The sequence below is a fragment of the Homo sapiens genome, chromosome 6 (genome assembly GCF_000001405.40).
Source record: "Homo sapiens chromosome 6, GRCh38.p14 Primary Assembly".
Classification (NCBI taxonomy): domain Eukaryota; kingdom Metazoa; phylum Chordata; class Mammalia; order Primates; family Hominidae; genus Homo; species Homo sapiens.
In genome coordinates, this window is record NC_000006.12 from 126,651,701 (window position 1) to 126,666,484 (window position 14,784).

Genomic DNA, 14,784 nt, shown 5'->3' on the forward strand with positions numbered 1-14,784 from the left:
TTCTAATAGAGATTTTAAATGTGTTGTGATGATTCTATGATTCATGCTACGAAGTGCTCTAAAATAAATACAAAATGCAACTATCTTTAATACTCTGAAATTATTCATTATTAAATTAAAGTAGCATTCATTTTATGCTGGTTTTAATAGCTAATTTAACTATTTAAAGAAGCTACTTTAAAAAATAAGACACTTCTTTCCATATTACGTGGTGGGTATTCTCAATCTTCATCCCCAACCACATTCTCCCAGAATTTGGGTTGGTTAAAATTTAGTATTAATCTCCTTCCCGCTTTCAATACTTTCAAGGCAACAGTTTTCCCATTATGTCAAAACTGACTTATTTTTTCACAAACCAAATTTTTCTAGCTCTGTTGATCATTTAAGACTATTGAAAAATCAGGGCAGATTTTGGAAAGTACAGCAGAATACAATTTATTACTGGTAAATTGTCAGTTATGATCAGCCTTCATGTTTTTTAAGATGAAACAATTTGTTTTAGAGGTGGGCAATTCTTAAAAAGACCAGTAGTTGGAGTTGGTTACACACACACAACAGTTATGTTTCCAATGTGGAAAATGCACCCAGTTTCTAAAATTCAGCAAATGATTTTCATTTGGTAGATGTTCAAACATATTAATTATTCTGGGAGTGCCAAAATAAATTTTAAAAAAACTTTTCTGGGCAAATTTGACACCCAAAATTTGGTCGTATGCTGCTCTATTAAATAATAATTATATGGATTAATCCATTGTATTCTTATATATAAATTATTTACAATATATAGTAATTTATATTTACATATGTGTACACAATTTATATTTCCATATATGTAAAAAATTATTTTATTTTTTCTTATCTAAATATATTAGTATAATATAGAATAAGTATATAACAGAATTTGGGGAGTTTTCTAGAACTATGACCCAAACTCAAACATCCTAAATTCACTCCCTAATTTATGTAAGGCTGTTTTTAAGCTTATGATTATGTAAGGCTGTTTTTGTTTTGTTTTGTTTTTTGTTTTTTTGTATTTTTGAGATGGAGTCTGGATCTGCTACCCAGGCTGGAGTGCAGTGGCGTGATCTCGGCTTACTGCAACCTCCAGTAAGGCTGTTTTTAAGCTTATGAATTAAAACCTTAATACACAAGGGATAGTTAATCTATGAGAGTTTTAATAAATCTGTAATTACTTTGATAAAAATCTGAAAATAATAGTAGCATCATAATGATTTGAGATTTTATGATGTTATTTAATTGAAAACTCTGAGTTGAATAGAAAAGAAATGCAGACTTTAAGAAAGACTTCTTCAAATGTACTGTAAATGCAAAAAAAAAACTATAGAAAAATATTTCTCTTGGATTTAAAAGTATTAAATGTCTTGCAAAAATGCTTGTCAGCAAATGAATTTTTTTATGGATGGAGAAATGAACTGAGAGGTTATCATCTGTTTTAACATTAAATGTGTAGATAAACAATCAAATAACTTATGGTAAAGAGATTCATTGTGGGTCATACCATGATTCCTTCACTTGCCTCAGTATGTGAATCATATTAATGAACAATAATTTAGTATTAATTGTACAAAAATGGTAATATTTATGATGTTATCCTAGAGGACTGTATATCCAAATTTGATTTAGTTGAAAACAACTGTGGTGCCGTTGAAACTAAGCTAAGGGTGAGCCAGAGTGTTGAGCCAGCAGATGTCAGAGATTTGAGCTCCACCATCATAGACAGCACATTAGTATATTAGAGTGGAAAATGAAACCCCACGATTAATGCTTGCCTGATGGTTGATTGATGAAACTGAAAAATTCAAAATACTGAAGTAAAATAAAGGAGTAGAGGAGAGGGAGACAAAAAAGAAACAGTGAGAGAAATTGAGAGTGTGTGTGAGAGATTCAGAGAGATGACAAAACTGATTTTCCTATATTAAAATTTCTGTCAGACTTTAGATATTATGAAAAGTGAGAGAAAACTATTGGGTTGACCTACATAAAATTGCTGCTAATTTACAGTTTTGACCTTCAAATATAACATTTTCATGTGCTTCCACATAATATAAAATCCCTAACTCAAGGTCTAACTTTTGATGAGGATATTACATAAGGCAATTCCTAACCTTTTCTCATATAACGCAGTATACAATAAGTTTTGCCCCTCTTGTAGTAGCATTCTACAATTCTGTAGAGATTTTGTGTGATACGATTTGGCTGCATCCCCACCCAAATCTCATCTTGAGTTGTATCTCCCATAATTCCTCCATGTCGTGGGAGGGACCCAATGGGAGATAATTGAATCATGGGGGTGGTTTCTCCCATACTGTTGTTGTGGTAGTGAATAAGTCTCACTAGATCTGATGGTTTTATGAGGGAAAACCCCTTTCGCTTGGTTCTCATTCTGTCTTGCCTGCTGCCATGTAAGAAATGCCTTTCATCTTCTACCATGATTGTGAGGTCTCCCCAGCCACGTTGAACTGTGAGTCATTAAACCTCACCTTCTTTATAAATCACCCAGTCTTGGGTATGTCTTTATCAGCAGTGTAAAAACAGACTAATACAGTAAATTGGTACCAGTAGGGTAGGGTGCTGCTGAAAAGATACCCGAAAACATGGACGTGACTTTGGAACTAGGTAACAGGCAGATTTTGGAACAGCGTGGAGGGCTCAGAGGAAGACGGAAATTGTGGGAAAGTTGGGAACTCCCTAGAGACTTGTTGAATGGCTTTGACAAAAACGCTGATAATGATATGGACAATGAAATCCAGGCTGAGGTGGTCTCAGATAGAGATGAGAAACTTGTTGGAAACTGGTGTAAGACTCTTGCTGGTGGCATTTTGCCCTTGCCCTAGAGATATGTGGAACTGTGAACTTGAGGGAGATGATTTAGGGTATATGGCAGAAGAAATTTCTAAGCAGCAAAGCATTCAAGAGGTGACTTAGGTGCTATTGAAAGCATTCAGTTTTAAAAGGAAAACAGAGCTTGAAAGTTCAGAAAATTTGCAGGCTGATGATACAATAAAAAAGGAAAACCCATTTTCTGAGGAGAAATTCAAGCTGGTTGCAGAAATTTGCATAGGTAACAAGGAGCCAAATTTTAATCACCACGGCAATAAGGAAAGTGTCTCCAGGGCATGTCACAGACCTTTTCGTCAGCCCATCCCATCACAGTCCTGGAGGCCTAAGAGGAAAAAATGGTTTCATGGGCCAGGCCCAAGGGCGCCTCTGCTCTGTGCTGCCTACGGACTTGGTCCCCTGTGTCCCGGCCACTCCAGCCATGGCTAAAAAGGGCTAAGGAACAGTTTGGGCCATTGCTTCAGAGGGTGCAAGCCTCAAGCCTTGGCAGCTTCCAGATGGTGTTGAGCCTGCGGATGCATAGAAGTCAAGAACTGAGGCAGTGGAACCTCCATCTAGATTTCAGAGAATGTATGGAAATGCCTAGATGTCCAGACAGAAGTTTTCTACATAGGTGGAGCCCTCATGGAGAACCTCTGCTAGGGCAGTGCCGAAGGAAAATGTGGAATTAAAGCCCCTACACAGAGACCCAACTGAGGTACTGCCTAATGGAGCTGTGAGAAGAGTGCCACCATCCTCCAGTCCCCAGAATGGTAGATCCACTGATAGCTTGCACCATGTGCCTGGAAAAGCCGCAGACACCTAATGCCACCCTGTGAAAGCAGTTGGGAGAGAGGCTGTACCCTGCAAAGCCACAGGAGTGGAGCTGCCCAAGACCATGTGAACCCACCTCTTGCATCAGCATGACCTGTATGTGAGACATGGAGTCAGTCAAAGGAGATTATTTTGGAGCTTTAAGATTTGACTGCCCCACTGGATTTTGGACTTGCATGGGGCCTGTCGCCCCATTGTTTTGGCCCATTTCTCCCATTTGGAATGGGTGTATTTATCCAATGCCTGTATCCCATTTGAGGCCTCCCCAGCCCTGTGGAACTATGAGTCCATTAAACCTCTTTTTCTTTATAAGTCACCCAGTCTTAGGTATGTCTTTATCAGCAGCATGAAAACAGACTAATACACTGGGGCTCTAAAGTGCTATTGTAAAAGGAGTAGGAAAAGAACTTTCCACAGACAACAACAGAAAAGTGAAAGAAACTCTGCATTCAACAAATGTTTATTGAACCTTTGCAAATAGCAGAGAAAAACAGAACAGACAACCTCAGAGTTTCTCTGAAACTTTAGGTTTATTGTTAAACATTATATGACTCCTGCAGTCCAATCTACCATACGTCCCCCATTTTTTTCCGTTGTTTTTCTGCTTCAATGTCTTAGAGAAAAATGATTTACCAATACATTGTCAACTTAAGTGTCCACGAATGGATGGATAAAGAAAATGTGGTTTGTGTGTGTGTGCGTGCATGTATTCCTTTTTATGGCCATTATATATATAAAATGGAATTTTATTAGGCCATAAAAACGAATAAAATAATGTTTTTTGCATCAACATGGATGAAACTGGAGATCATTCTCTTAAGTGAAATAAACCAGGCACAAAAGACAACTATCACATGCTTTCACTTATATGTGGGAGCTAAAAATTCTGATCACATGGAAGTAGAGAGTGGAAAGATAGAGAACAGAGACTGGGAAGGGTGAATCAGGGGAGAGGAAGGACAAATAGAAGTTAATTAAAGAGTACAAATTTACAGATAAATAAAAGTAAAAATTTCAATGTTTGATAGAGTAGGGTGACTGTAGTTAAACAAAAATGTATTGTACTCAAGTGAACACCCAAAATACCCTGACTAGATCACTCTAGATTATATACATGTAACAAAATTTCATGTGTATCCCATAAATTTGTACTAATAAAAAATTAAAGATTACATACCAAGTGACAATGAAAAAAAATCCCTCTTTCTTTCAAACAGTTAAAAAATGTTTTCCATGGAAGTACATAAGTATATCCTTATGATTTCTAGCAGTTCTAGATTACCAATTGTGTATCTGCATGGCCAAATTCTCAATCAACTCCAGAAACTATGAGAGATGAAACTTAATTTGAACTTTAAAAAATGGACATATTTGAGTACAAAAGATAGAGAAGGCATTCCAAATAAGGAAGAAAATCATTCGGAACCTGTGTATCAGATAGGAGAAAGCTAATCAAAAAGATGAAGAAGAATGAATTAAGGTAATATGATGATAAAAATACCAGTTAACACATAAACATTAATAGCTGTGTCTTCTTTATAATTATCCAGGATTTCCCTTGATGCCAAGATTATACTTTTGTGCACATACCTATATTTTATATGTAAGCTTCTACTAAAATCGGTATTGAAAAGACATGTTTGTTCTTATATGGATTATACAAGAAATAGAATAGGTGCCGTCTCTACTTTGATGGGCGTAGCTCAGGTTTCAATGTTATTAAAGGTTAAATGATGATAAAAATATAAGAAATTTGAAATACAGCATTCTTCTCAAAAGCATGATTTTCAAACAAACAAGGTTTTCATGTTTGTTTATTTTGGAATATTTTCTTGATCTGTAGCATATTATTAAGTAAGACCCCTCTGATTATCAATCATTTTAGATTTGCTTAAGTAGAATGGTGATTTTAGTATATTCTTTAAAATCCTAGTGTATATTTATTTTCCCTTAATCAAATTAGAGTACCGTTTATTTTCAGCCCCTTGAATCCCCCCGACATCTTTTATTTGTATATTTTTTAGTTAGGATTTTATAAGTTTTTATATGCCATTTGCATTGTGTGGAATAGTCATAAAATTCGTTGTCAGAGCTAGCATGTAGGACATGAAGGAAACGAAAATAGGAGAGAGAAAGAAATTGCATCAAGAAAGCAGGAGAAGCTAAAGGAAAAGTAAGAACAAAAGGAGGAGTGGAAAAGAGATTTAAAAATGAGATAAGTCATGGCAGTGGGCTTCGGAATCAACTCTCTATCCCCACTGTGGTCAATGGGTCCTTCTAAGGGAGGAGTAGGATGGAATTCAGGGAATAAAATATATGTCTGACTATAATCTAATAATCTTTACCCTCTCCCTCAATCCCTGTGTGCACTTAGCTCCCTCTGTTGGACTGGTGTTGTTTACACACAAGTGATTTGTTCTTTGAAGAGGCAGCCAAACAAAATTTCCTTCTGATATTTTACATTCAAAAGACAGAGGAAAACGATCTCTTCTTGGCGTTTTTACATTAGTATAAATGTTTTTAAGTGGTGATAACAACTAAGATGAATTGTTTGCACAACTCAAGACTTTTCCTCCAGGTCTTTGTTGTAGTAGAGAAATTTAAGTATTTTGTATCTTTTACCACACTGACTTTCTCACATCAAGTATTCAAAATTGCAACCACATTAAGGGAGAAGTTTGGAAATGTTCCTATTAGAAGGCAATCACAATAGTTTCCAGTAACCACTAGACTTCTTGTGATTATGATTTTAATATAGTAACAAAGCCCTCCTTCCCAAATGGGTGAAAGATACACATTCTTCTAATAGTTTAAGTCATGTTTGGAGATAAAAGATGAAGACTAGGAACTCCAGACCTCTGGAAGATTTTAGAGTAGCCATAATTAATGATATAGAATATGTTAGTCTATGAGTGCTTCATAATATGCAATATGTGAGGCTGGAGGTTGTATGCCTTGCTTATTATTTTATGGAGTCTCAATAAATTTTTCTTTAATTTACTGATTTTAGATTAAAAAATTGACTTCTAATTTTTCCAATCATCCATTCACTCATTCAGTTAACTTCTCAACAAACACTTAAGAAGAACTAATCATGTCACAGGTTCTGTGCACAGTGCAGGGTATACAACCGTTAATTAAAGTAGACATTTTTCCATTCTTATGAGATTTACAGCTTTTACTTACTTTGCTTCTCTCACACAATACACTTAATTTTCTAGGCTGGAGCATGGGTTAGAGACATTCTGGGGATTAGAACTAACCTAGTCATAAGATTTCTAGGTTCTTCCTAAATTTTAATGCACATTGGAGTTTCATGTATTTTTTAGAATATAATAAATTGATTGATGATCCCTACAATTTCTCTCAAGATTCCAGTGTTTATCTTGTTGAGAATGACAGTGACCTAATATGTATTGACTTTTTGATGACCCTTACAACAATACTACCTTGTTTCAAATTTATATCCCTGGGAATTTCCAAGAACCATGGTGTGTGTCTATATGTATGTGTGTCTATGTGTAGGAAGAAGACAGGTGGTAAGGAGATAAGAGAGATGGGCAGAGATGATTAGGAACAATGCATATAACTTTATATAAAATTTTGATCCTACTATTCTCCTTACTTATTCTGCAACATACTATAGGATATTAAAAATGGAAGATCTGTGTGACACTCAATACCTTTATGTAACTCAGGTGTCATATGACTAAAAAAAGGACTTCTCAAACTACATTTAGTAAATGGGATTTATTGTAAAATAAAACCAGGAAACATCATGCAATTCAAATGGAAGAAAATGGAGCTAGGTCTATACAGTTTCTGTAATGAGGGATTGTTATGTTGTTCAAGAACTGAGGACACTCATATCTTGATCACTCTTCCTCTGAGGTCACATGAGTCTTGATTTTTATGGGTCTATAACCTTCTATGCCTGGCACCCACTAGTAACTTAATGTAATTTCTGTGTACTACATCCATAAAGTAGTGGAAAGAATATGGTTATGTCAGCTTATGTCATGTACACTCCACAGATTAATTCAGATAACTGGGCATTGAGATGACCAGAGGTATTTCAATAACCATTTAGTGAAGGTTTATATCAGATTCTCCAACAAAGGGTTTGTAAAGGACATCAGTGCCAAATTTAAATATTTATCTTTCAACATGCAAACAACTCTTTTAAAACAAGAGACAATACAGACTAATTCACCACTGAAAGATAAATTGAAAATCAGGACTTTCTTACAAAGATATTCATTGTAAATTCATTTGAGTCGATGCCAGAAAAGATTCTAATTTAGTGGAATTAACCTGCTTGTTTGTTTACTTTTCCACAGTGCTCTGAGGTTTCTAAAATATGGGAGTTGTTGACAATAGTGTTCTTACATGTAATATAGATGGCCCATCCAATTTCTTATTAATTAAATTCTGCTATCATTTCCATTCCTAGCTAAATGAAATTATAACAATAGAAGGTTATGTTATGACAAGGTAGCGTAAAAGTTTAGAAATATATTTTGAGTACTCTTGACACCATTTTGATGTACAAAAGGAATTGCTAAAAGATTTGGACCACTTTATAATCTATATTAGGTTTCAGAACTTGCATGCAGACAAATACTCATTCAGTTTCAGAGAGAGAATTTAGAGCCAACAATAACTTTGAAATTTATTAAAAGTAGGTCACCTTCTTAATGGTGAAATGTTTGTGCTAAAAGGAGGAATAGTTCTCTTGACTAAATTTGTTAGGACTCAAAAGAGTGCAAAAAGGGTCATTGAAAAGGATAATTTATGGCACTCAAAATATTTGTGAATCCAAATATTGTCATTTTTTTTCTAAACAAGCAAGGATACTGATCAGTTAACAGCATTCATATAAATGAACTGTTAAGGTTGAAATGAACAGGAGCTATCTTGTGTTATTTACAATCAAGTTCTGTCTTAGAGACAATGGTAAATTATTAATAATGCTCATTAATCAATGAGCATATTAAAATAATTACATTCTCTGCATTTTTATTTACTGAATATTTCTAAATTTATTTTAAATTTATTACTCAACTTAATCTCTAACATTCCTCATTGACTATTTAGTCAATTGTGCTAATGTTCCACTTTCCAAAACAACATGCAAATGGAAGAAAGAATGAACTAATAGTCATTGTGCACTTGTTAAAATAAACCAGGCAATTTGCATAAGTAAGCATATTTAATACCTACAACACTACAGTACAGATATTATATTATTTACGGAAGAAAAAAATTGAACATCAGAGGAATTCAAGAAATTGTCCAGAATCAGGTAAGATAGCCAAAAATATCAGAACTGGTTGCTGATCAGTCTGTATATCTATAAAGTACATGCTTTAAAAAAAACACACTTCCTATATGCTATGCCAATTATTTCCTATTTCTTGTAATATCAAGTTAAATCTGCTCAGCCTAGCATTATGATGATCCATTATCTGGTGTCTCTTTACTTAATCAATCTTCTTTTCACTGCTGTCCAACACAAAGCCTGTTTTTCAGTCATCAATCTACTTCCACCTCCAGACCTTATTTTATCCACTCTGGAGTCAGAAGGCCCAACCCTCTTTCATATAAATCCAAACCTAAATTCTCCATGACAACCTCTCTCTTAGTTATAAATAAAATTCCCTGCCCTTTTTGTTTTTTCCTTATTTTCTGACTGCTGTTTTCTATGCCCTCTTTTACTGTGGTCTAACAATCACTTCTTCAGGCTGATCTGCCTGCTCTCCTTTCTTCTATGACGTCTTCTATAGCATTGATAGGGTGCTTCTATCTCTCACCAACTGCTTTGAAATGAGCTCCTTCTCTTCTAGATCTCGTATATACTACATAATTAGTTACCATATGGCCACAATATACATGCAATGCAGGGTGCAGAAGAGTAAGTAGAACTGACTTAGTACCTACTCTTATGAATATTTTAATTCTTTGAGGAAATGAAATATGCAGGTTGTTTATATATATGAAATAGAGAAAACATCCCTCATGAAGGCAGACTTTTATCTAAATGTGAAAATATAAGGAGAACTTTTTTGTTTTCCTTGTTAAACAAACATACACACACACACACATTATGGTACTTTATATGATAATGGATTATAGAAAGGAAAGAGGAAGGAGATGAAAAATCTTATACCTAGCAGAGTACATATTTTTCAAAAAGTTTCTTTCTTTTCACCAGTTCTGGTGGTGTTATATATTATCTTGCTATATGTGTCTGACATTAACTTAAGGTTCTGAAAAATGAGTATTTAATTAAACTACATCTAGTTTAGGGAAAATCTTGCCTGGTAACTTGAGGAAATTAAAGATTTTTAACCCTCATGTTCATAATAGGGATCCTACAAAAAGTCAGGGCCTGGGATCTCATGATTTCAATGACAAATTTAGGAATCATCAAATACTCTGTGGTTTCAGACACCATTCTTTTTCCCCAGTGAGTTACTACTTACATGGGGCAGTGTTAACTCATGTTTTCCTATATTTAGCTGCATTCCAAAGAATTTCATAAGCATTTCCCTGAGCTCACTTTCCCATCCTCAGAGTGATGGCATGAAGCAAGAGGGGATTTTTGATGAATATACTAATATTTTGCATCTTGGAATGTAGATTGGGGTATTTTCATAGAGGGGTTAAAAAAAGGATTAAGAATGGTGGGAATGAAAGTGATTTCTTCTGGGAATCCTCACTATTGCTGATCGTGTTCTCGCAGTGAATTAGTGATCTGTGTGCTGGGAGACACAGAAGTTTCTGTACTTGCATGCTTCTCTCTGTCCACCTTTTACTTTATCTGAACCTATATGCATCGATATCATATCATATTTTACCTTCCCATTCACAAAGGGCTGCTTTTCCTATCTGCCTGCAACAATTGGACTATGAATGAGATAAAAGTCACTAAAAGAAAGAAGGGGAAAGGAGCCAATTATTATTTTTTATAATCAATATCTTTTTCCTCACAATTGGGTCCGATGATATTAATTAGCTACTTGACCCAAAGATTCTTAAACTCAGGGTTCAACAACCTTGAAAAAAGAGCTAGTTTTCCTTGCTTCTGGTCTCCAGTATTCTGAGGATGTGCATGAACATGTGTCATCTTCAGGAGCAATGTGTGGGGTAGAGTCAGTGGAGCTCACAAGCCTCAGACAAATGAAGGTGTTTACCTACTAAAAACTTAACCACAGCATCTCTGTCTTCCATGAGGAGCCATTTTCCTAGTTATACACATCTAGTCTTTCTTTTCTTAGGTTTTAACTACTGTAGATCTGGGTGTAAGTCAAAACTGACCCCTACTTCTACACATGAAATGATGTCATCTAAATCAGGCCCAAAACAGAACTAATCAACTCCAATTGGAATTTGGTTCTAAATCCAATCTTTTACATTCTGCCATTGATATGCTTTTATATTCCTATATCATCTAGATGTAGGAGATTTGTGTGTATTCTGTCATTTATCTTTTCCAGTAGAATGTTTTATAGAACCCAAGGCACTTCTTCAGGTATTTGTCTGATTTCTATTTTTCCCAAATAATCATCTTTTAACAGAATTTAAAAGTCTGTGGAGTGAGGCTGTATCTTATACTTCTTTAAACTGCACTTCCCTAAATTAATACACTTTAAATTTAGTTTTGTTTGTTTAGTTTAGTTTTTACATCAGAGGAAGTCCATGCATTTTTATTGAATGAATGGAAAATTAATTGATGAACTAATTCTGAGTTGGAATGTTCAAGTAATAAACAACATAAGATGCATTTTTTGCCTTTTTTTGCCAAAAAAAAGCTCTGGTTATAATCTGATAACAATAAATTTCCTCTTATATGACTCATATTTCATGGGTAACTAATGAACCTAGGCACATAATAAGCATTTTGGACAACACAAGATTATATTAGATTCAGTCCTTGTCTTCCATGAGCTTTCAATCTAGTTGTGAGTTCCTGGAAAATACTTAATTTTGACACTAGAGAAATCTCATGCTAGAAATTTCTGCCAGTACCAATTAAAGATATTTTCTCTCAAGTTTCCTGAAGCCAAAGTATACAAGGTTTGCAAATTACGTGACTACAGCAATGAGATTGAGAGTAAACATTGCAAAGAAATCTCAAAATTACCAACCAAAGCATTTTTAAAAATCAAACATCTCTCCCTAGTGGCCCGAGGAGATATATCAGAAGTCAAAGGATAGAAAGCAGCATTCTTTACCTGACTCCATATATTTACTTGTCAGAACTGCTTAACCTTAGCTTTCCTGACAGCAAATGTGCTTGGACTGAAAAGGGAGAAATTATGTCAAAGCACTTCCCAAAGGCCAGGAAGTATTTGCTTTCCGAATGCAGGCGTCTTTGTATATCTGTGGCTAAAAGTGATGCTGAAGATATGCAGATTTGTAATTTCTAATTTTACAAAATACGACTTTGTTTTCGGTGCTAACAAGCAAGAAATTACTGACAGCATCAGATGCCTGGAACTTACTGGATCAATGAGATGGGACTTCCGGCTTTTCTGTTAGGCAAAGACCTGCTAAAGTTGAGCCATGGAAGCCCACCAAATCCATGAAACATTAACATTGCCACTACAGCTTCATCTCTGCTATAGAAAACATGTAAAGTATTTTTCATACAGTTCCTAAACTTGTGGTAAGGAATTAAGCCCAAAATGTCTTAGGAAGTCTTGGATTTTGATTTGCTGAGCATTAGGAATACACTTTCTTGTCTTCCTTCCATAGGTTTGTATTATGATTCTATTTTAAAAATTCATAGCTTTGTCTCTACTCACGTGTTCCCAGAAATGGTTAGATGTGTATAATATGTTCACAGTTCTTTCTTTAATCTGGGGGCTGCAGCGAACTAAAGGCAGAAGAAAGTAGGGTGAACACTGAACCAAGCAATAACTGGCCATCTGAATAATCCTTGCTGCTGGGGCCTAGTAAAGATAAATACTCATCTATCCAGCGCCTTCATTTCTGTAATGTCTCCCTGTCCAATTTAATAAATGCTTTCTTGCTGGTTTCTTGGCATCTCTTTGAATAAGGAATGTAAACTGAAAAGGCCTAGGAGACTAAAACTGGCACAAAACTCTATGATGAATAGTATCAGGAGACACAGAGGCTAGCTCAGTAGTCCCATATGCAGTGCCACAGTCTTTACCAGAGGGCAAATGGATTTGCTGCCTGGGACAAGGCAGTTGCATAATTTCCAGATTCATGAAAAAATAAGGGAAAAAATAAGAATAAAACCAGGTCCAATTTTATGCAAATAGAAGTATGAAGTCAGATATTTATAGAAATTATATTAAAGACAACAATTTAAAATCTTAATAAACAGAACCATCAGTATATATTTAATCCTTAGATATTGTAAAAGGAAAACATAATGTGGGTTTCTCTAAGAACACTTTGAAATTTCGGAAGAAACTGCCAGCAAAATTAGACTGAAACTATTATTTAGTTATCTCTATATTTATACTATGTCATAAACTATTACTGTTTAAATATCTTAAAAAGCCCTGGAAAATCATGTTAATTTTTCCAAGTTGAATATTACTAAAATAAGAAAACTTTCACTTGGTGCTATGGAGTCTGACTAGACTTCAGTTCAAATTTTATTCCCCAAAGAAGCCTTAAATTATATTTTTTAAGTTTCTATTTTTCTTTTCACATGTTGAAGAATTTTCCCAGGCTATTATGTTCAAGTCTTTGATTGTAATATGGAAGCCATGCTCCCAGATAATTGAAGTAAATATTAATTCAGATCCACCCAGTAGGTGTGTAGTTTTGGTGACTCACTATCTTTTAGGCCTCTAAAAAGGCAATCATAAAGTGTGTTGTGACAGATAAAAGTGAGCAATCAGAGGCAGCACTCATATTGGAATAGTTTACCATTAAGGCTCACTGGAAAACAGTAGTGTTGAATTTTGGGGCAGTATTCATAGACTAGGGTATGTTATTTACATTTGGGGGATTAAACTAAGGACATTCACTAGTAGTTGTTCAGTTTTTCTCCTTGCAAACTTTTGGTCTGAACAGAGGCAGCTCATCACACCTAGTTGTAAGAAAGGCCCAGTAAAAAATTGTTTCCAGTGCTAACAAGCAAGAAATTACTGACAGTATCAGATGCCTGGAACTTATTGGATCAATGAGATGGGACTTCGGGCTTTTCTGTTAGGCAAAGATCTGTTAAAGTTGAGCCATGGAAGCCCACCAAATTCATGAAACATTAACATTGCCACTACAGCTTCATCTCTGCTATAGAAAACATGTGAAGTATTTTTCATACAGTTCCTAACTTGTGGTAAGGAATTAAGCCCAAAATATCTTAGGAAGTCTTGCATTTTGATTTGCTAAGCATTAGGAATGCACTTTCTTGTCTTCCTTCCATAGATTTGCATCATGATTTTATTTTAAAAATTCATAGCTTTGTCTCTACTCACACGTTCCCAGAAATAGTTAGATGTATACAATATGTTCACAGTCCTTTCTTTAATCTGGGGACTGCAGCGAACTAAAGGCAGTTAAGAAAAAATTGAGAATATAAGCTATAAAGCCAAGATGGCTGTTGCATCGGGATACAAACAACAGTATGTGCCACAATGAGAAAAGGCTAGAACTAACTACAATTTAATGGAGAACATGCTTATGTATAATGCTTATTATTATTCTTGAAAAATAAACTTCTCTAAATGTTGCTGTTATATTGAAATTATGTCAACCTTTTATTCCCTAGGAGAAAGGTATTCTCAGTTAAAATTTCCTGAGTTTTTATGCATTTTTAACAATCCTGCATAATGTATTAACATCTTATCTCAGACATTACAATGAATAGTTCTCTATGTAATAAAATTTTAGCTAGCAAACTCATTTGCCTGCTCAAAATATTTGCCCTTATAGCTAATGATAATATTTTATTAAGTTTCAATTGGACTCTAAATGTAGTCTATTGTTATTTTGCTTATTGTTTGTAAAAAGAGTTATACACACTATGTGAGGATTATGTATTAGTGCATGAACATTTAGAGGGGACTCCAACTTTGGTGGAGGCAAGAACACATGAACAATCATGAAAAGATTCTTTTGGCCAAA

General features: G+C 34.8%; 1 long non-coding RNA gene across 1 annotated transcript in view; it reads left to right on the forward strand.

Moving 5' to 3' along the window:
- The first annotated feature begins 8,674 nt into the window (after positions 1-8,674).
- The window catches only part of LOC105377992 (uncharacterized), a 61,454-nt gene continuing 55,344 nt past the window's right edge, over positions 8,675-14,784 (forward strand). Inside the window, exon 1 of the long non-coding RNA XR_001743836.2 lies at positions 8,675-9,586. This is a non-coding gene — a long non-coding RNA (uncharacterized LOC105377992). The remainder of the gene's footprint in view (positions 9,587-14,784) is intronic.